Source organism: Homo sapiens, chromosome 22 (assembly GCF_000001405.40).
Source record: "Homo sapiens chromosome 22, GRCh38.p14 Primary Assembly".
Taxonomy (NCBI): domain Eukaryota; kingdom Metazoa; phylum Chordata; class Mammalia; order Primates; family Hominidae; genus Homo; species Homo sapiens.
The window spans coordinates 21,102,412-21,130,092 of NC_000022.11; the positions used below are offsets into that span (position 1 = coordinate 21,102,412).

General features: G+C 49.0%; 2 pseudogenes across 1 annotated transcript, besides 3 other annotated features; one reads left to right on the plus strand and one right to left on the minus strand.

The window, feature by feature from the left end:
• Positions 1-972: an enhancer, noted in NCBI's record as "H3K4me1 hESC enhancer chr22:21456701-21457672 (GRCh37/hg19 assembly coordinates)". NCBI's record gives its function as "activates a minimal SCP1, AML or CMV promoter by ChIP-STARR-seq in primed H9 embryonic stem cells {active_cell/tissue: H9 hESC(primed)}" and the evidence as "EXISTENCE:reporter gene assay evidence [ECO:0000049][PMID:30033119]".
• Positions 421-470: an enhancer, noted in NCBI's record as "active region_18696". NCBI's record gives its function as "activates an Ori minimal core promoter by ATAC-STARR-seq in GM12878 lymphoblastoid cells {active_cell/tissue: GM12878}" and the evidence as "EXISTENCE:reporter gene assay evidence [ECO:0000049][PMID:35858748]".
• Positions 605-19,875, plus strand: BCRP2 (BCR pseudogene 2; annotated as a pseudogene). The gene is made up of 6 exons (NR_037566.1): positions 605-815; positions 13,518-13,590; positions 14,713-14,847; positions 15,630-15,898; positions 16,376-16,538; positions 18,393-19,875. The product of NR_037566.1 is annotated as a BCR pseudogene 2 (transcript).
• On the minus strand, positions 10,377-25,681 carry POM121L7P (POM121 transmembrane nucleoporin like 7 pseudogene; annotated as a pseudogene).
• Positions 26,322-27,190: an enhancer, noted in NCBI's record as "H3K27ac-H3K4me1 hESC enhancer chr22:21483022-21483890 (GRCh37/hg19 assembly coordinates)". NCBI's record gives its function as "activates a minimal SCP1, AML or CMV promoter by ChIP-STARR-seq in primed H9 embryonic stem cells {active_cell/tissue: H9 hESC(primed)}" and the evidence as "EXISTENCE:reporter gene assay evidence [ECO:0000049][PMID:30033119]".

The following is a 27,681-nucleotide window of genomic DNA, read 5'->3' on the forward strand; positions in this document are numbered from 1 at the left end:
GGGAGCTTGAGTGATTCCTTACCCAAGGGCCGTCATAAAAGGTCTCAGCTGATGCCTACTGCCGATCACATTCAGCTATTTGGGAAGAGATGTTCAGTCCTTAAGAGGACATTATTAGTGGACATCACTCTTTCCACAAAAGCCCCAGTCTTGTGTTACTTAGTCCCACTAGCTTCTTTAAAGAAACCCCAAGAGCATTTCCTCCAGGAATCTGTTTGATCTCTTTTCCTGGGGGAGATTTCCAGGTGATTCTCATTGGAATGAATCCTAGGTCCTGTTGCTGCTGCTGGTCTCACACTGTGACTGATGCTAAGTCCTTCTCTTCCACCACCATTCTGGATTTTCCTTGCTATAGCCTAAGTGTTTATGTCTCCCCAAATTGTCAGCGTTGGAGCACCAAGAAGACAGGCAGCACTGACAGTAGCAGAAGAGTAGGAGGTGGCTGTGGCACCCCACGCCGAGCAGGAGCGGGAGGAGTTCCTGGGCGATGGGGCCGCAGCCTGGGCCGATGCTGACCATGGGATGAGATCATTCTTCACTCTGCACCGTGACCATCAGGGGGCGCCCCAACCACCTTTTCTGCCCCACATCGTGCTCTTGCAGTGTTCTCCCCGCAGGTGCTGCATGGAGTGAGTGGCGGCATCCACCGTGAGGAGGAGAGGAGCTCTGATACCCTCAGGACCCGCCAGGAGGGGCATCACGGAGGCTTCTGGACGACTTGGAGCTGTGTCCTGGGGAGAAAACCGCTCCTGTCTGGGCCCTGAGTGCTGAGGAGGAAGCTGCCATGCACTTTTCCCTGGCATTTTTCCTGCATGGTGAGTACAGAAGCTTTAGTTTTCTGGTATGTTCTGTTCATTCCTCTCCTGTTCTCCCTGGTTTTCCTCTTTCTCTTGTAGTGTTTTAGTATTTATTTTACAGTGGTATTCATTCTCTGAAGGCTTTTGAGGGTGTCAAGTGTAGCAGACTGTGGTATTTTTAGGGGTTTAAGACTTTTTCTGGGTGGGGGGGAGGGGGGAGGGATAGCATTAGGAGATATACCTGATGCTAAATGACGAGTTGATGGGTGCAGCACACCAACATGGCACATGTATACATATGTAACAAACCTGCATGTTGTGCACATGTACCCTAAAACTTTAAAGTATAATAATAATAAAAAAATCTTGGTTTTTATTAAAAATAAATAAATAAATAAATACATTTCTAGTTCTGAAAAAAAAAAAAAAAACCAAACCAACAACAGAAAAAGACTTTTTCTGAGGGAACCTCCCCTGTGTAGAGGGAGAGAGAGGGAAGCCCCGCTCAGGTTGGAGTCAGGGCCAGGCCCAGTTCTGGCTGGCTGCCTCGTGTCCAAGCCTCAGAGGGAGGATTTGCATTGGGCCTTGCTGCATTTTTAAATCTTCGTTCCTGCCATCAGGACCCAGGGGTCACTCTTCTTCACTTTTGGGCAGCGCGTGTCCTCTCGTGTCCCTCCCACCGTGGCCGCCTGACCAGGGGCGAGGGACTCCTCGGTGTGGGTTTTTTGTCCTCTTTGCAGAAATGTCTGTTCTGGGCCTCTGCCCAGTTTGGGGTGGATTATTTTTTGTTGTTGTTTTAAATTGCTATTTAGTACTGTTAATGTGTTGTATATTTTCGGTAAGAACCCCTTAGCAGTTATATGATTCCTCAAAACTTTCGTCCAAACTTCGGGCTCATTTTTTCCGTTGTGGCACAGAAGCTTTTCAGTTTCTTGTAGCCTCACATGGTTGTTCTTGCTTTCCTTGCTTGTGATTTTGGTCCCCAATTTAAAAAAATCATTCACAAACCATTCCATTCTCCATGAGGTTTTTACCCCTTATGTATTCCTCTTTTTCTTTTTGAAACTCTTTCCAACTGATGAGCATGGATTCAAGTTGTCCTGAAAGTAAGCTCCCCCTATCTTTTCTTACAGGAATTTAATAATGTTTTGTGGTTTCAGGTTTTGTGTTGAAATCTTTAATCCATTTTGAGTTGATTTTTGTGTATCGTGTAACAGAAGGGTCCTATTTCTTTTCTTTTCTTTTTTGCATATGGATATCAGTTTCCTCAAAATGATTTCATGAAGAAACTCTCCTGTCCCCATTGTGTCTTTCTGATCTCTGGTGCCGATTTCATTTGCTCTGGAGTTATACCCAGTAGTGGGATTGCTAGATCTTACAGTATTTGCATTTTCTGTCATTTTCTTTGAGACGGGGTTTCTTCTGTCACCCAGGCTGGAGTGCAGTGGTGCAATCACAGCTCACTGTGGCCTCTACCTCCACAGCCCAAGCAGCCCTCCCACCTCAGTCTATGGTAGCTGAGACCACAGGCACACACCACCATGCCTGGCTAAGTTTTTAAATTTTTTGTAGAGACAGGGTTTTGCCATGTTGCCCAGGCTGGTCTCGAACTCCTGAGCTCAAGTAATCTGCCCACATTGACCTTCTGGTAATTGTATTTTCAGTTTTTTGAAAATGGCAACTTCCAACTTTTTACCATAGAATATGTACTAATTTATCTTCCCATCAACAGGGTATAAGAGTTCCCTTTTCTCCAAATCCATACCAGCATTCTTTTTAAAATTTTGTGGCCAGGAACAGTGGCTCATGCCTGTAATCCCAGCACTTTGGGAGGATGAGGCATGGTGGTGTGCACCTGTAGTCCCAGATACTTGAGAGGCTGAAGTGGGATGATCACCTGAGCTAGGGAGGTCAAAGCTGCAGTGAGCTGGGATCACGACACTGCACTTCAGCCTGGGTGACAAAGTCTGAGTCCCTGTCTCAAAAAATTAAAAAAAAACTTTTTAGTAACATTTATTTCAATAAAAGTGAAACGGCATCTGAATGTGGTTTTGAGGTACATTTTTTTTCTGATGAGAGACGTTGAGGACCGTTTCTCTTACATGTTGGTCAATTTTGTGTCATCTTTGCAGAGATGTCTACTCAAGTTCTTTGTATTGGTTTGGATATGTATTTTGCTACATTGTATTTTTTTTCTGTGTATATGTTTGATAACAACCAGTGATTGAGTTATCGCTTACATGATTCCCTTTCTTTTTTTTTTTTTGAGACAGAGTCTCATTCTCTCACCCAGGCTGGAGAGCACAGTAGCACATCACATGACCATATATATTGGCTACCTACAGCTTTGCAATGTAATTTGCTATCAGGAATTGTGAGTCTCCCAACTTAGTTTGTATTTCTCAGGATTCCTTAGAGGTTCAGGGCCATTAGTGGTTCTATGTGAATATTAGCATTTTATATTCATATTTCTTAAATTTTTGCCATGTATAATAACATACACAATTAGAAGTTATGCTGGGACATGTTTTTTTCTTTGGGGACATTTTGATACATGTATACTTTGAGTAATGATCAAATCAGGGTACTTATCATAACTATTCCCTCATTGAGGTATTATTTCTTTGTTGTGAGTACATTCAAATTGCTCCCTTCTAGTTTTTTGAAAAATACAATATTTTGTTAACCAGAGTTACCCAGCTGTGGCATAGAAAACCAAAATGTGTTTCGCCAAACTCACTGTAACTTTGTTTCCATAACCGATCCCTCCCATCCCCCTCCTATCCCCCTCCTTCCCCTCTCCTCAGGAAACCGCTACTGTACCTTCTGCTTGAAGGTAAAGTTTTTTGGATTCCATATAAGTGAGATCACATAGTGTTTGCCTTTCTCTACCTAGTCGATTTCATTTAATGTAATGTCTTCCAGGTTCGTCTGTGTTTTTGCAAATGACATGTTGTCATGAATTTTTATGCATGAGGCATATTTCATCATGTCTGTATGCTGAAGTCCCTTCATCCTTTCATTGGTTGGTGGACAGGTAGGTTGATTTCATACCTTGGTTACTCATTGTTAGTGAGTAGTAGGTCACTAAACCTCAGAAGGCAGCTGTTGCTTCAACAGACCGATCTCATTTTCTTTAAGCTCACAACCACGGTTAGAATTACTAGATGAAACAGTTCTTGCATTTTTAATTTCTGAGGGTGCTCCAAGTGGTTTTCTCAGTGCGTTTCATCATTGAAATTTCTCCCAATAGTGTATAAGAGGATCTCTATATCTAACAGCACCCTGAACTTTTATTTTTAAATTATTTCTGTTTTGGTATTATTCATTTTACTTAGCGTTAGATAGTATCTGAGTGTGGTCTTTATTTACAGTTTTGTGATGACCAGTGATGTTGAGAAACACCTTTTTTACCTTTTAATCAATATCATACCTTCTTTTCAGAAATGTCTGTTATTCAGGTTTTTTTGCCCAGTTTTTTTGGGGGTATTGGGTCTTGTATGTTTTGTCCCTCTGTAGTGTTAGTTTCTGCTGTTGTCAGATAACACTCCCTTTCAGATATATGATTCCTCATAATTTCCTTTTTTTGATGTGTAAAAAGATAAACCTATTGTGGCAACAGCCAAGAACGGTAATAATCAAATGCAGGAATTAGGTGCCATTTATATTTCCCCACTCAGAGTATAAGACTTCCTGCCTCACAGAAGTAAATGAGATTTTTCTGTGCATATAGTAAAATTTTACTTTTCATATTTTAATTTTTCGTGTCCTAAAAAGTTAACACAATTTAATTAAAAATTAAAGCCACTAAAACATTTATGTAACAATTTCTTTTTAAATTTTACTTTAAGTCCTGGGATACATGTGCAGAATGTGCAGGTTTGTTACATAGGTATACATGTGCCATGGTGGTTTGCTGCATCTATCAACCCGTCATCTAGGTTTCAAGCCTGGTATGCATTAGGTATGTGCCCTAATGCTCTCCCTCCCCTTGCCCCCAACCCCCTGACATGCCATGGTGTGTGATGTTCCCCTCTCTGTGTCCATGTGTTCTCATTGTAACAATTTCTTTAATTACCACATAAGGTACTATGTTATCTGACAAATCTATGTTTTACAGAGAAATTGTAGAAAAGTCATTCACAAGTTTCTTCTTGATTTCAAACTGTAACACAATGTTGTAAGTAATGCAACTAGACAGAATTCGGCTGGATATTGAAATTCAACATAATAAAAAATATATATGCTGGTTTATCCATACTACTCACACTGTTAGTATGAATGCTCTATCCTAAAGACAGAAACAAGTGTCTTAGTGAATCTATATCATTACAAACTAGATTAGCTTTTCTCCTTTTGAATTTTAGAAAAATACAAAAATTCAATTGCCTAATTATTGTACACAGTGTTTCAATATATGCATGACTAAAGCAATTATAGGATTTTTTTTTTTTTTTTTTTTTGAGACAGAATCTTGCTCTGTCACCCAGGCCTGAGTGCAGGGGCGCGATCTTGACTCACTGCAACCTCCACCTCCTGGCTTTAAGCGATTCTCCTGCCTCAGCCTCCCGAGTAGCTGGGACTACAGGCACACACACCACACCCAGCTTATTTTGGTATTTTTAGTAGAGACAGGGTTTCACCATGTTGCCCAGGCTGGTCTCGAACTCCTGACCTCAGATGATCCACCCACCTCGGCCTCCCAAAGTGCTGGGATTACAGGTGTGAGCCACCATGCCTGGCCACAATTATAGTTTTTATATAGGAGTAAGAAAGGTCTTAAATGGAAAGATTAAAAAGGATTGCAAATCACATGGCAGCAGAAGGGAGCTATAATTATAACATGTCAGCAAGAGAACCAAAAATCACCTTTCAAATCTAGAGGATTATGGAAAGATATCTGAAAAAATTGTACACTTCTGATAAAGGCAGTTTATTTTACACAAAATGCTTACCAATAATGTGCATGAGGAAAAAGTGAACTCAGAAGTTGACAAGGGAATTCAAAGAGGGAAGAAGAATTTTTGTACCAAATGCTGCTTGAATAACAAAATATAAATATTTGCATCCCATTCTCACTCCATACGGAAAACAAATGGGTACTTCTTTCTAACCTTGGAACAGGTAGAAGTTTCTTGTAAGGACACAGAAAGCTCTAACCCTACATAAAGACATTTATAGGTTAAACTTCAGTGAAAATTAAAGGTTATCAAAAGACACTATAAACATGAATATGCAAGCCACAGACTTGGGGAAATATATGTAATACATGCATTTGTCAAATAATTCATCTCATATAAAGAACTTTTACAAGTTAACAATACAGAGGCAAACAGGCCAATTAAAAAGTAGAAAAACTTGAACAGACAGTTTGCAAAGCAAGACATACAAATAGCCAGTGGGTATATTAAACAATGGTCAACATCACTAACAGTCAGGAAGATGCAAGTTAAAATCTCAAGATACAATTTCATTTGATTTCACATTTTAGCCACTGTAATGGCAAAATCAAAACGACTGATAATACTAAATGTTGATGAAAATAAGAATTAACCAACACTCTCATAAAACTGGTGGAATTGTAAAACAACTACTTTGGAAATGGTGTAGCAATTTCTTGTAATATTAAATATACACTTAACCTATGACTCAGCACTTTTACTCCAAGCTGTTGATCCAAGAAAAATAAAAATGTACATTTTAGTACATTTTTTAGTACATTTAGTACATTTTTTCTAGTACAAGTCTATGTGTGTATGTATGTGTATGTATGTGTATGTATACACACGTACACCTACGTAGACTTGTACTAGAATCTAACATAGCAGTCTTATTTACGTTAACCCAAACTTGGAAATGAGCCAATGTCCTTTGACAGTGAATAAATAAATAAACCATGGTGTATCACACAACAGTATATATTCAGTGATTAAAAGAGAACTATAGAATCGCACAACAGCATGGGTGAATCTCAAAACAGAAAAATGTATTTAGAGAAGGAAGCCAGACATTGAAAAGTGTGGATGTGTGATTCCATTTATTTGAAATGCAGCCATAAGAAAAATTTATCTTTGGTGACAGAGCTCAGAAGGTAGTTGTTTTTGACCCATGAAGGTACTGACTGGAAAGAGATGTGAGAGGATTTTCTGGAAATGTTCTATATTTTGACTGGGATAGTAACATGAGGGTCTATAACTGTCAAAGCTCACAGAAGTGAACATTTAAAACTTCTGCATTTTACAAAGTATAAATTGTTCCATAATTTAAAACAATAAACAGTCTCATATCATTCATTCCTTCAACAAGTAATTATACAGGCCTTGCCTTTTAGTAGTTCTGCAGCCTTGTGAAGATTTGAAGATTTCTTAACCTCTCTGAGATCATCTAGCTCAAGCCAAATGGGATAATCATAAAAACCACCTCACCAGGGTATTGAAAAAATTAGTTATAAAATGTTTAGGTCAGTGTGAGGCACATACTAGATCCTCAGTAAACATTAACTGATTCTATATTTACCATTCAGCACCCAGACTTGAGAAAGGGGCAAGGCAAAGAGGAAGCTCAGCCAATATGGTTTAAAGAACACTAAACTGTGTAACAAAACTATTTTACATTTTATAGACTTTATTTTTATTATTTTGGTTGACAAGTCAATTGTATAGATGTCTTGAGTACAATGTGATGTTTTGATATGTGTACACAATGTGGAATGATTAAATAAAGCTAATTAACATATCCATCATCCAGCTCACCTTTGTGGTGGGACATTTGAAATTTACTCTTAGCAATTTTGAAATATATGATAGATTATTATTTACTATAGCCACCATACTGTGCAATAGATCTCAAAACTTTATTCCTCCTAATGAAAACTTTGTACCCTTTGAACAGCATCTCCCTGTCTGCTGTACCCCCCAACACACCCCAGCCTCTCATAACCCCTTTTCTACCTGTTATTTCTATAAATTTGGCTTTTTTAGATTCCACATATACATGAGATCATGTACTTATCTATCCTGTCTGGCTTCTTTCACTTAGTGTAATGTTCTCCAGGTTTATTCATTTTGTTGCAAATGACATAATTTCCTTCTTTTAAAAAAATGCCCAGCAGCACTAATCATTAGGGAAATGCAAATTAAAACCACAACAATATCACTTTATATCTGTTAGAATGATTAATATTAAAAAAAGAAAGGTAACAAGTGTTGAAGAGGATGTGGAGAAAATGGAACCCTAGTACATGTTGGAGTGAATGTAAATCAGTACAGGCATTATGAAAAACGGCACAAAAATTAATCAAATAACTAAAAATACAATTACCACATGAGGTCAGGTGCAGTGGCTCACACTGTAATCCCAGCACTTCGGGAGGCTGAGGTGGGAGGACTGCTTGAGCCCGTGAGGTGGAGGCTGCAGTGAGCCGAGATCATGCCACTGCACTCCAGCCTGGGCAACAGAGCAAGACTTTGTCTCAAAAAAAAAAAAAAAAAAATTACCACATGACCCAGCAATCCTACTTCTGGCTATATCCAAGGAAATTGAAATCAGTATGTCAGAGAGGTACCTGCACCCCCATATTTATGGCACATTATTCACAACAGCCAAGATAGGGAACAACCTAAGTGTCTATCAACAGATGCATGGATAAAGTGTATGTGTGTATGTATATATATATTATTATCCTTTTAAGTCCTAGGGTACATGTGCACAACGTGCAGATTTGTTACATATGTATACATGTGCTGTGTTGGTTTGCTGCACCCATTAACTCATCATTTACATTAGGTATTTATTCTAATGCTATCCCTCCCCTATCCCCCCACCCCACGACAGGCCCCGGTGTGTGATGTTCCCCACCCTGTGTCCACGTGTTCTTATTGTTTAATTCCCACCTATGAGTGAGAACATGCGCTGTTTGGTTTTCTGTCCTTGCGATAGTTTGCTCAGAATGATGGTTTCCAGCTTCATCCCTGTCGCTACAAAGGACATGAACTAAACTGGCTAGCCATATTTAGAAAGCTGAAACTGGATCCCTTCCTTACACCTTATACAAAAATTAATTCAAGATGGATTAAAGACTTAAATGTTAGACCTAAAACCATAAAAACCCTAGAAGAAAACCCAGGCAATACCACTTAGGACATAGGCACGGGCAAGGACTTCATGACTCAAACACTAAAGTATGTATTTTTTTAAAGAAAATCCTCTTCAGTGATTTTCTAATTTTTCTAGATTTTCTAGTTTTTCCATGCCTATTTTCAGCAGGTTGCATTGACATGTACGTGGTGACTTAGCTTTCTGAAAAGAGCTATGGTATAATGAATATATGCCACTTGCCAGAAACCATGGTCAACACCATACATACCTCATTCCTAAGTGACCTATAAACATAGCAAGGCTGGCATTACCATGCCCATTTTATAGATGAAAAGATCAAGGCTTGGTGATGCTAAGAGACAGGTCTAAAGCTACAAGTTTACAAAGTAACAAAGTCAATTTAATCATAAGCACATTCATTTCTTTGTTCACTTTTCAGATACAATGTTTAAAAATATGTCAAATGATAAGCATTGCCTATTTGTTTTACTCTGAAATATAGGGATGTCCTTTGCCAGCTACTTAAAAATGTTTTGTCCTTACTCTGAAATATGAATAACTGATGTGTTTGTTTTTGAGACAGGGTCTTACTCTGTCACTCAGGCTGAAGTGCAGTGGCATGATGTCGGCTCACTGCAACCTCTGCCTTCCAGGCTCAAGTGATCCTCCTACCTCAGCCTCCCAAGTAGCTGGAATTACAAGCATACACCACCAGGCCTGGCCGATTTTTTGTAGAGATGGGGTTTTGCCATGTTGTCCAGGCTGGTCTTGAACTCCTGAGTGCAAGCAATTTGCCCACCTTGGCTTCCCAAAATGCTAGGATTACAAGCATGAGCCATAGTGCCCTGCCTACTGTTGTTTTTTGATAACTTGTCTGCCCTCTTCCTCCCTTTCTTACCCTCCCTCCCCTGATGGTCTCCCTCTCCTTTATAGATACAGGGCCAGTGGCCTCAAGCCAGTACCTTGGATGTTTACCTCTACTGTATTTTGGGCTAGGACATTATAATTAAATTTAATAACTATTGAAACAAACGTCAAGTTAAGATTTTGCTACAAGAAAGGTGGGTGGACATATATTAATAGTTTGGGAGTAAATGTCAATCTTTACGTTCCTGAGACCTTATATTTTATTTATTTATTTATTTTGAGATGGAGTCTCGCTCTGTTGCCCAGGCTGGAGTGCAGTGGCATGATCTCGGCTCACTGCAAGCTCCACGTCCCGGGGTTCACGCCATTCTCCTGTCTCAACCTCCCCAGTAGCTGGGACCACAGGCGCCCACCACCACGCCCGGCTAATTTTTTTTTTTTTTTTTGTATTTTTAGTAGAGACGGGGTTTCACCGTGTTAGCCAGGATGGTCTCGATCTCCTGACCTTGTGATTCACCCGCCTCAGCCTCCCCAAGTGCTGGGATTACAGGTGTAGTAAGCCACTGGCCCAGTCTCTTTTTTTTTTTTCCTGGCAGTTACTTTCTAAATTACATGTTTTTTGTTTTTTCCTTTAAAACCTTTATTGTTGACAGGTTTTTCCACTTACATTATTTATCTTGCCTGGGCCATGCTCTTCCCTAAAAATTCCACTAGAGAGAAACTAGCTTCCAAGCTTTTTCAGGTTGTTAGCAGAAGTAACTTCCTTGAGGCTGTAGCTCCAAGGAGCTCAGCTTTTTGCTGCCTGTTGGCTGAAGGCTGCCCACAGTTCCTTGCCATGTGGGCTTCCTCAACTTAGCAGTTTACTTCATCAAGCCAGCAAAGTGGATATGTGTCCCAGTCTCCTACGACGCAGTCCTAAATAATGTGGTGAAGGGAAGTCGTAATCAATGTCATCAATGGACTCAGATAAATCACATCATTTTTGCTGTGTTCTCTGGGTTAGAAGAAAGTCACAGGTCCCATTCACATGGAAGAGGAAGGGATTTCACAAAAGCATGGACACCAGGCACTTTATATCTATCCATGCCCACATTTTACAGAACAAGAGAAAGACCATAAAATGAAACTCTTGAGAAATGATCATTCAACATATGACTTTAGTTGCCAACCTCTCAGGCTACTTTTAAAAATATAAACATATGTTCCAGTTTAGATATATGAATATTTGAACACTTTCCTGGAGTCCTTCTTTTAAGATCACAAATAGGGAATATAACTTTATAGCTTAGATGATATATAAAAAATAAAGATCAGATGTAACCAGAAACTGAGTTTCTTTTTTTTTTTTTTGAGATGGAGTCTCACTCTGTTGCCCAGGCTGGAGTGCAGGGGCATGATCTCAGTTCACCACAACCTCTGCCTCCCAGGTTCAAGTGATTCTCCTGCCTCAGCCTCCCAAGTAGCTGGGACTACAGGTGCCTGCCAGCATGCCGGGCTAATTTTTGTATTTTTAGCAAAGATAGGGTTTCACTATGTCAGCCAGGCTGGTCTTGAACTCCCGACCTTGTGATCTGCTTGCCTTGGCCTCCCAAAGTTCTGGGATTACAGGCATGAGCCACTATGCCTGGCCCAGAAACTGAGTTTCTACTCTGGCAAGTTAAACAAAAAATTAGTACATATCAGGCTGGGTGGCTCTAGGCCACATGCAAGCAAGCTGCAAACTGAATTGCCTCTGCAGCTGCAGAAGGCTAATTTCTACATTGATATTTGGAAACACTAACAGCTAGAAAACACCACTCTACTCATTTTTAAAAATAAGATCATATTAAATGATGTTACATGCATCATTTATATATTGCTCGCAGTGCCAGCATCCTCAAATATGGTTTTAATTTTGGTAGATATCTTGCTAGGGGGAGCACATTTCCAAGTTATCCAGATATAGGGCCCTCTTTCCTTCTCTTTCTGTCCACGTGCAACCAGATGCTTTGTGGAGTTAAAGTTGACATTTATTTAAATGCCACTTGGTGTCTGGTTTTTCACCTTTAATTTAGGGTTTTCTAGCTGGGATGTAAAAGAATCACTTGGAGGGATTTTTCAAAATACCAATGGCCAGGCCACTAGCCAGTCAATCAGAAGCAAAATCTCCTTGGATGGGACCTGGAAGTCTTTACAGTTTTCCAGCATTTTAATGAACATCCCTGATTAAGAACCACCGGGTCTTAAGAGTGTGGCATATGTATTTTTCAAGTTCCTAGAGGCTCTCCAAAACAAAACAAAAAAAATCTGCTTTATTCTCTGCCTGGTGTTGATGCATCAGTCTCTTTAGCCGTTAGTCTGATCCTGGAAATTTATGGTCATAATTTGATGAGCAATGTTGGGAATGACTTCTTCCTTTTTTTTTTTTTTTTTTTGTTTTGAGACAGAGTCTCACTCTGTTGACCAGGCTGGAGTGTAGTGGGGCGATCTCCGCTCACTGCAACCTCCACCCCAATACTTTCATTTTTAAATATTATTTATGGCATCCAGATTTGCATAAGATGGACTGGGTCAATGGCCATGCCCTTTATAAATCAATATTCTTAAGTTCTGCAAATTCAGTTTCCTAAAGAGCCAAATCACATCCTACTCATCAGCAAGGCGGGTAGACATCATTTTCACAATCACTTCTAATTTTCCACCATTGTAAAAAAAATAAAATATGTAATCACTTTCTTATTGTAAAATAAAGAATTTACTTTTCCAGGACCTACTGCCTCCCTGTTCCCCCCCTTTTTTTTTTTTTTCAAACAATCTTGAACCCTTTGTCACGAGTCAGTTGCCAAGAGAAGCCTATTTGTTGGTTTGAGAGCAGTTCATACAGACACAGACCACTTCCTCTGAGAATTCATTTGCTTCCCCAGGATGGAATCTGGCTGGGCCTCTGACCTTGCTGGTCACGTGGGCCGGGGCCTCCATCAGTCATACCCTGGACTCCTATCTGTGTCTAAACACCACGCCCCACCCCCAACTGCACGGCAGCCACTCGCATAGCACTCTGGGAGGGCTGTGGGCATGAGCAGCGAGGACTCCATCAGCAGCTCCCCCACATAAGCCCTGCTGATGAGGGGGCTTGCGAAGCAGCTTTGATGTGCTGGTAAATCCAGGTGCAAAACAGAACTCAAGTTAAGGCCTCCGCACAGCACTGCGTTCTAACTGTGAAGGATTCTTACTCTAGTGTCCTGTGTGGAGGTATTGGAATTGTCCATTGCTAAGACTCAGAGGAGAAAAGCACTTAGCATCGCAGGACTTGGAGCACCGGTGCTGAGGCAACCCTTCATTCATTCGTCGGATGTGTGTTAAGGCCCAGGGCAGGGGTCAGGGATTCTCCTCTCACACAGCACGTGGGTGGCAGGACCAACACCGGGTCTGACCTCCCAGCCGGGGGCACAGGCTGCTAACCCCAGGCCTGGAATCTGTCAGATGCCCTTCCCGTGCTGACTTGACTTAGACAGGCCTCCTGACCTTCCCACAAAGGTCATGTGTGATTCGCAGGGGTTCTGGCCGCTTGAAAGGTTCCTGAGAAAGTACATGCAATGAGGACAGAGCTTGCAGAGGGAGGACAGGCATGCAGAAGGCTCTGTGTGCAGCCCCAGACCTGGGTACCTTCGTCACCGTCCTCACCCCACCTCCGGGTGCGCAGATAGGGAGCAGGTCTCCTGTGTTATGGCCCAAGCAGGGCTGTTAGGACACTGAGAACATTCCCTCCTCCCGCAGGAGAGAGAGGTCCAAGGTGCCCTACATCGTGCGTCAGTGCGTGGAGGAGATCGAGCGCCGAGGCATGGAGGAGGTGGGCATCTACCGCATGTCTGGGGTGGCCGCAGACATCCAGGCACTGAAGGCAGGCTTCAACGTCAGTGAGTGTCGGCCTGCGCAGGACGGGATGGAGGTGTGGGCAGTGGTGTCCACGATGAGATCTCAGAGTGCTCCATGGCCCAGGCATGTCACATCCTTCTCTGTGTCTTTTCTTCATTTACTGTTTTATTATTTTTAAAAAAGAGAAAACAAGAGTTGTACAAACAGCTTCTATAGAAGCCAGTTTTTACACCATCGTACCCACTCGTGCCACTTGGTGCAGTGGACCAGGGGCTTCTGCGGGGCCTTGGCCTTCCTGCCTTGGGGTTGGACAGGAGGTGGAAGCCCAGGACTCAGTGCGGTCTGTCCACTGCCCTGTATGAGGATGTGGTGGGCAGAGGGCACTGATGAAATTCAGCGCAGGCCGGGGCTGCAGCCTCTCCGCCTCCATCTCACCAACCCTCACAGGCTTTGAAGGACCCGGACCTGCCTCAAATGCCAGGGGAGGGCACTGAGACCCCAGAGGGTCCTTCCCAGCATCTTCAAAGCAACAGGATTTTGTGCCTGCAGATCCTTCTTTGCAGCACACACCACCCACCCTGACCAGGACCCCTAGAATGCCCAGCATCCCTGGGAGGGCCCTGTGGTAGTTTCAGCTCCCTCTGAGGGCCCAGAATGAACCTGGCCTGTGGTGAGGATGTAAGCACCAATGGCCAATTGGGTCCAAAGGAAGACACCGGTTCAAACACTGAAACCAATCAGATTCTCCCACGGCCTTCCTGCTATCAGAAGACACTGGTGCAGGGGTGGTTGCTATGTACAGGGCAGAGCCACCCAATCCCCACGCAGGCGCTGTGTCCTGCCATGCTGGCCTCCTCCTGGCCATCACATCAGGCCAAGCAGGGGAGAGGAATGGGAATGCCCACGCACCCCTATCAACTCTGCAGACACAGAACCATGCACAGCTCTTGGGAGGAGTCAGATGAGCTGCTCAAAGCCCAGGAGGGACCCACACAGTGGTCAGCATGGCAGGGACGGTGCTTTAGCCAAGGCAGGGATGGTGGGTGACTCACTCAGGATCTTCAAGGAGGCCGCTGCATTTCCGTGCTCTTTCCAGATAACAAGGACGTGTCAGTGATGATGAGCGAGATGGACGTGAACGCCATCGCAGGCATGCTGAAGCTGTACTTCCGTGAGCTGCCCGAGCCCCTCTTCACTGACGAGTTCTACCCCAACTTCGCAGAGGGCATCGGTGAGCACTGGAGGCCTTGGCCTCATGGGAGACGTCTCCTCCACGTGCACTGCTGCCCTCAGAGGCTGTGAAAAGTGAGGTGTGGGAACCCGAGCTGTGCTTCCTCTGCCATGGTCGGAATTTTAACCCAACCTCAAAAAGCAGGGGACCAAAACTGAGCCTATCCTGGAAGGCCTTGCCCATCCCCAGAGGGCTCCCCATCCATATTTCTCAAGGAGGCCAAGTGGGTGAAATGGTCAGCACTGCCGTGCTGTGGGGTCCTAAAGTCTGCTGTCCTCCTTCCTGCAGACCAGGGCTAAACACTGGTGCCCAGGTGCTCTTGCCATGGGTCCTGGTCCAGCCAAGCATGGTTTCAAACATGACCTGACCCTTAGTCAACCTGGAGGCTGATGTCTAGAGTGGGCGCTGGAGCGTGCAGCACCTGTAGCCTGTGCATCACCCTTAGGGCAGGTCTGCCTCCCGGGCCCATGCACAGAGGACCTGGTCTCCCAGCCTGCAGGTGCCCCTGTGGTGTCCAGGATGTCGAGGGGGTCTCTGCGTACTTGGTGGGGCTGGGACCCTCCCACTTCCCACCTCCTTGTGTCCCTCACTCCCCTGTTTCATTCCATGCTGAGCCTCCCCTGCCTTGGGCTCCCTGGGGAGGGGGTGGTGGCAGGAGTTGCCCGAGGGCAGCTCTGCCCATGAGCAGCTGCTCTAGCGGCTCCTCCTGCTGCTGTTTGCCGGGTGCTGCTGACCCCTGCGAGGTAGAGAAAAGGCGTTCAGGTGGTTCACACCCCACACAGGTGCCCCTCACAGGGTCCTCACTGGCGGCCAGCGCTGTGGGTGTGACGATGATGACAAGCCTAAACTGCGCAAGGACTCGTGTCCCTGGCGCTCCATGTGACCACCTCGGGAGAGGTCTCCGGCTTGTCGTAACCCAGGGGAGTGACCCACTGCCTCCTGCAGCTCTTTCAGACCCAGTTGCAAAGAAGAGCTGCATGCTCAACCTGCTGTCGTCCCTGCCGGAGGCCAACCTGCTCACCTTCCTTTTCCTTCTAGACCACCTGGAAAGGTAGCCCAGCTCTCTTGTGGCTGCCCAGGACTCCAGGTCTCCAGGCCGTGGGGTGCCCCTCTGCTCCCACCAGACCCCCAGCACCAAGGACCTTTTCCCCCGACCCCTGTCTGCAGTAACTCACTGCTTCTAAGGACTAGCACCACTGCCACCCCCGCCCCTGCCTCTCCTCTTTGCCACCCTCCTCCCTCTGCACTGTGGCCTTAACAAAGAGCTCAGAGCTTTGGCCGTGGCCAGCAGTGCATTTGGACCGCCCCCCCTTCCCTCCCAAGCACATCAGGAAGACCTCCCCATCAGCCCAGAGCTGGCCCCTTGTCCTGGGCCACTGAGACCCAGAAGTACCAAGGCTGGAGTCAGCTTGCAGCACAGCCAGGGTCGAGGTCACTCCCTCCCTGAGGACTCTAGCACGGCACAGCCCCTCTGCCTCTCTCCTGGTGGTGGCGTTGAAACAGCACCCTCTGCTTCGGTCCTCTACAGGATGGCAGAGAAGGAGGCAGTCAATAAGATGTCCCTGCACAACCTTGGCACGGTGTTTGGCCCCACGCTGCTCCGGCCCTCCGAGAAGGAGAGCAAGCTCCCTGCCAACCCCAGCCAGCCCATCACCATGACTGACAGCTGGTCCTTGGAGGTCATGTCCCAGGTATGGGAAGACAGCCTCCAGCCCATGCAACCCCAGCCTGACAGAGGTGGCCTCTGCCTGCCCCACCCCCAGTCCTGCCCATCTTCCGACTTGCATTGTATGTGGTGGTGGCTGAGATTCAGAGACAGGGACTTGCCTAGGTTTGCATGGATGGGAGTGATAGGGGGTGCCTAGGCCACCTCCTGGTCCTGCTGGTGCACCTTGCTGGGGGCTTAAAACCACCCCAAGTGTTCGAGTGTGGTGGCTCATGCCTGTAATCCCAGCACTTTGGGAGGCCGAGGCAGGACAACTGAACCCAGGTGTTTGAGACCAGTCTGGGCAATGTAGCAAACCCCATCTCCAGAAAAAATACAAAGAAAAATTAGGCAGGCATTGGGGCACATATCTGTAATCCTAGGTATCTGGGAGGCTGACACAGGAGGATTGCTTGAGCCCAGGAGTTAGAGGCTGCAGTGATCCATGATGGAGCCACTGTACTCCAGCCTGGGGGACAGAGCAAGGCCCTGTGCATCTCTAAAATAAATAACCACCCCCCACCCAACAAGTCATGCCTTGTCAGGACCCCACCCCACCCCCGTCTCACTGTAAGGGGTTCATGACACCAGCAGGGGTTTCTAGCACCTGAGGTGGACTTGGGATCTTGGGCCCCAAAGACCTCCCACCAGCAGCTGTGCGCCCCCTTCCGAGCCACTCTCCTCTTCCCCACTCCGCGAGGGCAGGTCGAGGTGCTGCTGTACTTCTTGCGGCTGGAGGCCATCCCTGCCCTGGACAGCAAGGGACAGAGCATCCTGTTCTCCACCGATGTCTAAAGGTCCCAGTCCATCTCCTGGAGGCGGACAGACGGCCTGGAAACCTCTGGCTAATCAGGCCATCTGTAGAGTGGGAATCAAGATTTTCTGAGGCATCCTTGGGCCACCCCCAGGTGTCAGGCCATCTGCCAAGAGACAGCGGCCCAAAGCAGAAGGACAGGTGGCCTGGGCAGATCCCGCCCAGGTCTGAAAGCCCCAGGCTGGCCTCAGACTGTGGGTTTTTTATGTGGCCACCCGAGGGCGCCCCAAACCAGTTCATCTCGGAGTCCAGGCCTGGCCCTGGGAGACAGGGTGAAAGCAGTGGTTTTTATGAACTTAACTTATAGAGTCCAAAAGATTTCTACTGAATCACTTGTCAAGAAGCGCCCTCTCTGGGGAGAAGGGAACGTGACTGGATTCCCTCACTGTTGTATCTTGAATAAACGCTGCTGCTTCATCCTGTGGGGGCCATGGCCCTGTCCCTGTGTGGGTGGGGCCTCTTCCATTTCCCTGACTTAGAAACCACAGTCCACTTAGAACAGGGTTTGAGAGGCTTGGTCAGCACTGGGTAGCGTTTTGACTCCATTCTTGGCTTTCTTCTTTTTCTTCCCAGAGGGATTTTTGTGCAGAAATGGGTCTTTTGTTGCCGTGTTAGTCCTCCTTGGAAGGCAGCTCAGAAGGCCCGTGAAACGTCGGGGGACAGGACCCCCAGGGAGGGAATCCCAGGCTACGCACTTTAGGGTTCGTTCTCCAGGGAGAGCGACCTCGTCCCCCGATCCTGACCGCCCTTCCGGCCCACGCTCTCCTGTTTGGCTTCCACAGGCCTGGACTTCTCTGGCTTCTCTGCCCACACACTCCCTGCCCCCAGTGTCCCTGCCCCTGCCCCAGCACAGGTGACTTCATTTCTGTCCTCTCAGCTCAGTGGACTCGCTCAACTTTTGTATAAGTCTCCACTTGGTGGTAGCAGCTTGCTGATGACTTGTTTTAAAACTTTCATCCTAAATAACCTTTTGATACTTGAATATTTGTAAGTTTTATACATAGTTTCTAATTTTTTCCCCAACAGATCCAGATACCTAATAAGATGCTGGAATGTAATCCCTGGACAATCCGTGTCCTGGCAGCATTTGGTCTTCCTCTAAGCGCCTGGCTCCGCTGTTCTCAGGAGTGGGTTCTGAAGTCTCTGGAGAACAGGATACGTGGAGGGTTAGGAAGGGGCCAGGCCTAGAGACGGGAGACTCCCTCCCGGAGCAGGTGGAGGCACAGGACCATTCGCTACCCCATCTGCCGGCACCTGCGGGGGAGCCCAGGCATTGTTTGTAAACCCTCCTGACTACCTGACTCAAAGAAAACAGAAGCATGGAGGCCGCCAAGTATTTTCAAGAAATAATCCCATGAACGTGGCATCACTTTTTTAGAAAGAGGGGCTTGGGGCAGGCAGAGGAGAGAAGGGAGAGCAAACTGAGAGCCAAGTTTCCAGACGGTCCTGCAGGAGGAGAGGATGCAGCTGCGCAGAGGGAAGCAGGATCACATTTAAGGAAGTGTGTGGGGTCCCTGGATGACACCAGCACCCAGTACGGCTCTGTCTGGCAACCGCTCCCAAGGTGGCAGGAGTGGGTGTCCCCTGTGTGTCAGTGGGCAGCTCCTGCTGAGCCCGCAGCTCACTGGGGAGCCTGACAGCGGGGCCATGTGCCTGACACTCCTCTCTGCTTGTGGACCTGGCAAGGCAGGGAGCAGAAAACAGAGCCACTTGAAGGCTTTCTGTCTGCGTCTGTGTGCAGTGTGGATTTAGTTGTGCTTTTTTCTTGCTGGGAGAGCACAGCCACCATTTACAAGCAGTGTCACCCTCGTGGGTGGCGAGGACAGAACAGGAGCCTCTGCTCTCTGTACCTATCTGGGCCCGGTGGGCTCCCTTGTCCTGGCTTCCATCTCTGTCTCAGCAACCATTCAGCCCTGCGCAGGAACACGTGTTGCTTAGAAAAGCCAAATCCAGCCTTGTCTCTGCCTCCTCTGGTCTCATGATGTGCATCTGTTACCTTGAAACTGGAAACCAGTCTATCAATGTCTGTGCCAATTTTTTATTCCCTCCCCAACCTCCTTCCCCATACGACTTTTTATTTATGTAGGATGTGTGCTGTCTAATGATGGGATGACCACACTTTTCCATGTTCTAAAAGTGCTCCTCTCCCGCAGGGTCCCAGGGCTGGTGGTTGCTTTGGGTCTACAGCTACGTCTTACCCGCCTCCTGCCTCAACAGCCTGTGTGGTGGCAAAGCCGGTGTGGGGCTGGGGAACGCAGCGTTCTCCAGGAGGGGGACCCGGCTCTCCTTCTGCAATGCAGGCGAAGGCCTAGATGCCAGTGTGACCTCCCACAAGGCGTGGCTTCCAGACTCCCCGGCCGGAAGTGATGCTTTTTTGCCGTGGGCCCTGGGTTTGAAGCAGCCTGGCTTTCTCTTGGTAAGTGGCTGGTGTCTTAGCAGCTGCAATCTGAGCTCAGCCACCTACACACCACCGTGGCCGACACTTTCATTAAGAAGTTTCCTGAGACGACTTGCGTGCATGTTGACTTCATGATCAGCGCCGCTGGGAAGAACCCCTGAGCCGGTGGGGTGGGGCTGGAAGCAGCAGGTGCAGTGATGGGGCTGGGTGCCCAGGAGGCCTCAGTGCTCAATCAGGCCAAGGTGGCCAAGCCCAGGCTGCAGGGAAGGCCGGCCTGGGGGGTGTGGGTGAGCACAGGCAGGCACCAGCTGGGCAGTGTTAGGATGCTGGAGCAGCATCCGTAACCCCACTGAGTGGGGTAGTCTGGTTGGGGCAGGGACCGCTGTTATTTTGGCAGAGAGAGATGATCCCCACTGGGGAGAGGCTGTTCTGACTCTGCAGGTGGGACAGGGACAGATGGCCACCAGGGTGACCCGGCTGGTCTTCCTTTGCTATGCTAAGCCCTGGGACATGGAGGATTCCTGCCACACAGCCTGGGCCCGGGTTCTTACCTGTGGCCACCGCTCTGGCACGAGCCCCTCAGTCTTGGGTGGTTTCTGCCTGGTCCAGGATTTGGTGTTGCTGCTGAGTCCAGCCTTTCCACCACCTCCGCATGGGCTGTGGGTGTTGTCAGCTGCCTCCCGCCTTGGCTTCAGTAGCTCACCCAGCTTACAGGGGAGCTGCCCTGGGCTGGAGATGGGCATGCACCCTGGGTCCTACTTGAATGAATGCAGCTTGAGGAGACCCGGCCATATACACTGGGCCACAGGTTACCTTCGGCAATGCCCACATCAGCCGTCAGCCTGAGCCTCCCCAGGAGAGCAAGGCTCACACGACAAAGGCTGCCCGTGGCCAATGAGGTGGCTGAGCCCAGCCAGGACCTTTCTCGGACTCCCGGGATGTGGCTCTGCTCGTGAGCTGCCTGGTCAGCTCTCTCGGGGTGAGAGGGGCTTGTCACACGGGCCCCTGCCTGCGGTGTGACCCTTCTCAGCTTCTCTCAGCAGCCCTGCCTGCGGAGTGTCACCGCCACCATGATCATTTCCCTGACACTGCGAGGGTGTGGGGACGTCCTGGGTAGAGACAGGGCCCGTGGCAGCAGCAGGCTCAGGGGCGCCCTGCACTGGTGGGCTGGGGACCTGGTGGAGACCACGCCAAGGGCTGGACAAGGGGACGAGCCTCCACCCTGGCCTCTCCGCAGGCCTCAGCAGCCCCTTCCACAGGCAGAAGGGTTGACACTGGGTTCTGCCCTCACTGCAAGAGCTGCAAGTGCCACGTGCTGTTCTGCCCAATCTGGTGTCTGCAGGTGAGGGAAGGGCTGCCGCTGGCCCGTTTCTGAGTGTTCAGCACCTAAGGGTGACAGCACTGTCTGTCCCTACCCTCCGGGTCCTGTTTGAAAATCAAGCCCATGCTCACAGGCCGATTTTTTTTTCTTTTAGAGACAGGGTCTCACTTTGTCACCCAAGCTGGAGTGCAGTGGTGCGATTATAGCTCAATGCAGCCTCCAATTCCTGGACACAAGGGACCTTCCTGCCTCAGCCTGCCAAGTAGCTTGGACTATAGCTGTGTGTTTTCTTATTATTTTGTAGACATGGGGTCTGGCTATGTTGTCCAGGCTATTCTCAAAATTCCCGGCCTCGAGCAATCCTCCTGCCTTGGCCTCTCAAAGGTTGGGATTACAGGTGTGAGGCAAGGCACCCAGCTCAGCCACAGAGCCCTGTTGCATCTCTCTTACTAGGAGCAAGAGCTGACTGCCCCCTCATCCCCATTCCAGAGTGTTGGGGCTGTGTTCAGCCGAGGCCGGGCCACTGGCATGGCCCAGGGAGCGGGATCATTCACTGCTGCCCCAAATCTGAGATCATTCCACCTTGACAAGACTTCCTCATCCAATCCCTTTACTTGACAGCTGGGGAAACCAGTGCACACAGAGCACCCCCAGCTCACTCGGGGTCTCAGAGCTGATCCATGAGCGGAGGCTGAGATCCTGGGATCTTGTCCCCCAGCCTCCCTGCAAGCTTACTCCCTTTCTGCTGGAAGAGATGGGGCCGGACCTCGACCAGCAGCCCTGGCCTGGACATGACTGTGCTCATGCAGGTATTGAGGCCGAGATGCTCCAGCATCATATGTTTTTCTTTTTTTTTTTCTTTCTTTTTTGAGATTGGCTCACTGCAACCTCTGCCTCCCGCTTAAAGTGATTCTCCTGCCTCAGTCTTCCAAGTAGCTGGGCCTACAGGCTTGTACCACCACACCTGACTAATTTTTGTATTTTTACTAGAGACGGGGTTTCCCCATGTTGGCCAGGCTCGTTTCGAACTCCTGACATCAGGTGATCCACCTGCCTTGGCCTCCCAAAGTGCTAGGATTACAGGCATGAGCCATGGCGTCACTTAAATGTAGTGAGAGGCCGGGCTTGGCGGCTCATGCCTGTAATCCCAGTGCCTTGAGAGGACGAGGCTGTCAGATCACCTAAGGTCAGGAGTTCGAGACCAGCCTGGCCAATATGGTGAAACCGTGTCTCTATAAAACAATAGAAAAAAATATCCCTGCATGGTGGTGAGTACCTGTAGTCCCAGTTACTCAGGAGGCTGAGGCATGAGAATCGCTTAAACCTCAGAGACGGAGGCTGCAGTAAGCTGAGATGGCGCCACTGCACTCCAGCCTGGGTGACAGAGCAAGACTTTGTCTCTAAATAATTAAATAAATATGGCTGAGCATGGTGCCTTAGGCCTGTAATCCCAACACTTTGGGAGGCTGAGGCAGGTGGTTCATGAGGTCAGGAGCCCGAGACCAGCCTGGCCAAGACGGTGAAACACTGTCTCTACTAAAAATACAAAAATTAGCCAGCTGTGGTGGCAGGCACCTGTAATCCCAGCTACTTGGGACACTGAGGCAGGAGAATCGCTTGAAACTGGAAGTCAGAGGTTGCAGTGAGCCGAGATTGCACCACTGCACCCTAGCCTGGGTGATGGAGCAAGACTCCATCTCAACTAAATAAATTAATAAATACAGAGCAAGATTCCATCTTAAATAAATAAATAAACATACACCTGTAATCCTAGCACTTCGGGAGGCTAAGACAGGTAGATCACCTGAGGTCAGGAGTTCGAGACCAGCCTGACCAATATGGCAAAACTCCATCTCTACTAAAAATACAAAAATTAGCCAGGCCTTTTGACGTGTGCCTGTAGTCCCAGCTACTTGGGAGGCTGAGACAGGAGAATTGCTTGAACCCAGGAGGTGGAGGTTGCAGTGAGCCAAGATCTCGGCTGTACTTCAGCCTGGGTGACAGAGTGAGACTCTGTCTCAAAAGGAATAAAAAAAATACAAAAAAAAAATGTAGTATGATTGCAGAGTCGTGCCACGGAAGCGTGCTGGTCCTATCCATGTAGTGAAGGCTGATTTCATACAGAAATGTCACAATAACTTTTTTTTCTTTTTCTTTTTTTTTGAGACGGAGTCTCGCTCTGTCACCCAGGCTGGAGTGCAGTGGCGCGATCTCAGCTCACTGCAAGCTCTGCCTCCCGGGTTTATGCCGTTCTCCTGCCTCAGCCTCCTGAGTAGCTGGGACTACAGGCCTGTGCAGCAGATGCTGGGGGGCCACTAGGCCCAGGCAGTCTTGGGACTTGTGTCTCTCCTGCTGTGCATCCATACTGGGTGCTTTAGAAATGGCAGGCAGACCAGAAGCCCCTGTTGCAAGTGAGGACAAAGTGTGGGAAGGCCGTGAGGGTCTGCAGTACTAAATGGCCTTGTCCTCAACCTGCAGTGCACTCCTGATGCGCTGGAAAGCCGCCTCCTTCTCCTGGTCCAGGTCTTCAGCAGTGACCCGGTACCCCAGCTCTAAGGGAGGTGGCAGCATCAAAGGCTCCCCTCGCCTGCGTGGCAGCAGGGGAAACTTGCATCTACAGGGCCTAGAGGCCTGGGATCTGGGGGAGCCACCCCTGGGGGCGAGTGTCTGCCCTGGTGCTGTATCTGCCATCTTTTCACACTGGGTGTGACCTGAAGAGACAGCCTGAGGTCCGTCCTCACTCACTGTGTTTCAGGAACTGAGGGTCAGCTGGCAGTGGGATGAGGCTGGCCCCCTTCTCCGCTTTCGTTCCGGGAGGCCTCCCGTAGAGCGGTAGGGGCTCGAGATGGCATTTCGTTTGGGGCACGAGCTGGTCCGGGAGGTCTGGGATCTCTGGTTCTGACCTCTGGGCACCTGCTGCAGCTGTGGCTGAGGCCCAGAAATGTGAAGGGCCTCCATCCACTCCAGTAGTGACCCCAACGTGGGGTTCAATGTGGAGGGGGGAGGGGCTGCTGCGGCAGCTGCAGGAGCAGAAGTGCCACACCTTGTTCTTCTCATGCCCGCATCCATGCTTGCAGCTGGGAAGGGGGCAGGAATCAGCGAGGTGACCTGGGCTGAGTCCTGGGAATGGGAAGAGGTGGCAGGAAGGGGATCTGAGGAGGAGAACAGGGGGCCTGGTGGTCTGTGCTTCTTCCCAGACATGGGAGCTGTAGAGGGGACCCCTGCAGCAGATGCTAAGGGGGCCAGTAGGCCCAGGCAGTCTTGGGACTTGTGTGTCTCCTGCTGTGCATCCATACTGGGTGCTTTAGAAACGGGAGGCAGACCAGAAGCCCCTGTTGCAAGTGAGGACAAAGTGTGGGAAGGCCGTGAGGGTCTGCAGTCCGAGATGGCCTTGTCCTCAACTTGCAGTGCACTGTTGATGCGCTGGAATGCCGCCTCCTTCTCCCGGTCAAGGTCTTCAACAGTGACCCGGTACCCCAGCTCTAAGGGAGGTGGCAGCATCAAAGGCTCCCCTCGCCTGCGTGGCAGCAGGGGAAACTTGTGTGTACTGGGCCTAGAGGCCTCGGATGTGGAGGAGTCATTCCTGAGGGCGAGTGTCTGCCCTGGTGCTATATCTGCTGCCTTTTCACACTGGGTGTGACCTGAAGAGACAGCCTGAGGCCTGTCCTCACTCACTGTCTTTGAGGAACTGAGGGTCAGCTGGCAGTGGGATGAGGCTGGCCCCCTCCTCCGCTTTAGCCCCGGCAAGCCTCCCGTGGAGCTGTAGGAGCTGGAGATGGCATTTCGGTTGGTGCAGGAGCTCGTCCAGGAGGTCTGGGATGTCTGGTTATATCTGATTTCTGACCTCTGGGCATGGAGGTCTGTCTGCAGAGGCCCGGGCCCGGGCACAAAGGGAGAGAGGCCTCCATTGTCCCGCAGGGGCCGAAATGCAGACGGTGCATCCCCGGTGACCTCGGGGACCCTTCTCTGATCACCAGGATTCTCTTGGACTCTAGGGTCCTTGTCCTGCTCAGGCATCCCTGCCCCGCTCTCCTTGAGGGCCCTCAACACTATCTTCCCTGGACACAAGTCTGGGGACAGCCGGGTGTTGTGGACCCCAAAGGGGTGACTCCCGGCTCCTGGGCCCCACAGAGAGTCCATGTTCTCAGTGCAGTGGCTGAGCTGGAGGACGCCCTGGAACTCGGAGCACACAGCACTGGCTTGCTGTGGTACCTGTGCAATCAAATTGAAGGCAGGATCCCAGGAAGGAAGGCAGGGCTTGCAGGATCACGGAAAACCTTCTTAGAGTTGTCTTGACACCACTGATGTCAAGTGTCCGGGTGCTTGTAGGATGGCCTGCCACTCAGTCCACGGGCAGGAGCAACGGGGAGATCCCACAGGCAAAGTGAACTGGGGGATGGGCTGAACGGGCTCCAGGCAACTGAGCCCTACTGGCAGGTCCTCGGCCTGGGCCCGAACAGGAAGGAGGGGCACAGAGTGCCCAGGTAACCGCTCCTGGGAGCAGTGGGGAACCGTCGGTTGCTTGAACTCTCGAGAGCTGGGCTCTGAGCGTCCTCGTCCAGCCGCCAACTCGGCCAACGGCTAAGCCAGCAGTTTCTTCTGTTGCCGGGCAACGCGCCTTTTAAACCTGAGGGAGCGGGCGCGTGAGCACATCAGGGCGCCCGTGACAGAGCGAGCTTAACGGATTAATAAGCGCAGCCAGGTACCCGCGCGAGGCACTTGCTGGCAATGGCGGGAGGCGGACGTGGGGGGTCATGCAATAGGTACTGGAAGGAGAGAGGCGAGCACAAAGGTCGCGGGAGGAACAGGTGCCCACAATGGTGGCAGATCTGCCCGTGGATCACTGAAGATTCCTGCTCTCCTGCTGAGGTGGAGATTGCAGTGAGCTGAGATCGCACCATTGCACTCCAGCCTGGGCAACAAGTGCAAAACTCAGTCTCCAGATAAAGAAAAGAAAAAGAAAAAAAAGAGGCCGGGCGTGGTGGCTTATGCCTATAATCCTAGCACTTTGGGAGGTCGGGGCGGACGGATCACGAGATCAGGAGTTGGAGACCAGCCTGGCCAACATAGTGAAACCCCGTCTCTAGTAAAAATACAAATTTAGTCAGACATGGTGGCACGCCCCTGTAGTCCCAGCTACTCCGGCGGCTGAGACAGGAGAATCACTTGAACCCGGGGGCTGGGAAGGGATTGCGATGCGCCGAGATCGCGCCACTGCACTCCAGCCCTGGGCAACAGAGCCAGACTCTTTTTTTTTTTTTTTTTTTTTTTGAGACGGAGTCTCCCTCTGTCGCCCAGGCTGGATTCCAGTGGCCTGATCTCGGCTCACCGCAAGCTCCGCCTACCGGGTTCACGCCATTCTCCTGCCTCAGCCTCGGGAGTAGCTCGGACTACAGGCGCCCGCCACCACACCCGGCTAATTTTTTGCATTTTTAGTAGAGACGGGGTTTGACCGTGTTAGCCAGGATGGTCTCGACCTCCTGACCTCGTGATCAGCCCGCCTCGGCCTCCCAAAGTGCTGGGATTAAAGGCGTGAGCCACCGCGCCGGGCCGAGACTCTGTCTTAAAAAAAAAAGGCCTGGGCTGTGGCACTTTGGGAGTCGGAGGCGGGCGGATCACGATGTCACGAGTTGGAGACCAGCCTGGCCAACATAGCGAAACCCCGTCTCTACTAAAACTACAAAAAATTAGCCGGGCGTGGTGGCGGGCGCCTGTAGTCCCAGCTACTCCGGAGGCTGAGGCAGGAGAATGGCGTGAACTCGGGAGGCGGAGCTTGCAGTCACCCGAGATCTCAGCACTGCACTCCAGCCTGGGTGACAGTGCGAACCTCCACCTCAAAAAAAAAAAAGAGAGAGAGAGAGAGAGAGACAGAGAGAAAAAGGTTTATTGATTTAATGTACTTTTATGCCTGTGTTCTTCAATTTGCTTAGGAAAGACCCACACTTGAGAGCTGGGACTGTGTCCCTGATTGTGGACATGAAATATGTGGTTTCTTGCCAAAACTAGACACTGAATAATTACGATTTAGTTGAGCTAGAAATCCATTTGGTTTCTTCCATATTTTCCCAAAATTTTCATCCTTTTTTTTTTTTTTTGACATGGAGTTTCGCTCTTGTCCCCCAGGCTGGAGTGCAATGGCGCGATCTCAGCACCTGCTGGCAATGGCGGGAGGCTAGGGGACGCTGGCGGCATAGGTACTGGAAGGAGAGGCGCGCGCACAAAAGACTTGGGAAGACCTGGCGCGCACAATGGCTGCAGATCCGCCAGTGGATCACTGAAGATTCCTGCTCTCCTGTTGAGGCGGGGATTGCAGTGAGCTGAGATCACACCATTGCACTCCAACCTGGGCAACAAGAGCGAAACTTCGTCTCACACACACACACACACACACACACACACACACACACACACACGAAAGAAAGAAAGAAAAATTAGTGGCCAGGCGTGGAGGCTCACGCATCCCAGCACTTTGGGAGGTCGGGGCGGGCGGATCACGAGATCAGGAGTTGGAGACCAGCCTGGCCAACAGAGTGAAACCCCGTCTCTAGTAAAAATACAGATTTAATCAGACATGGTGGCACGCGCCTGTAGTCCCA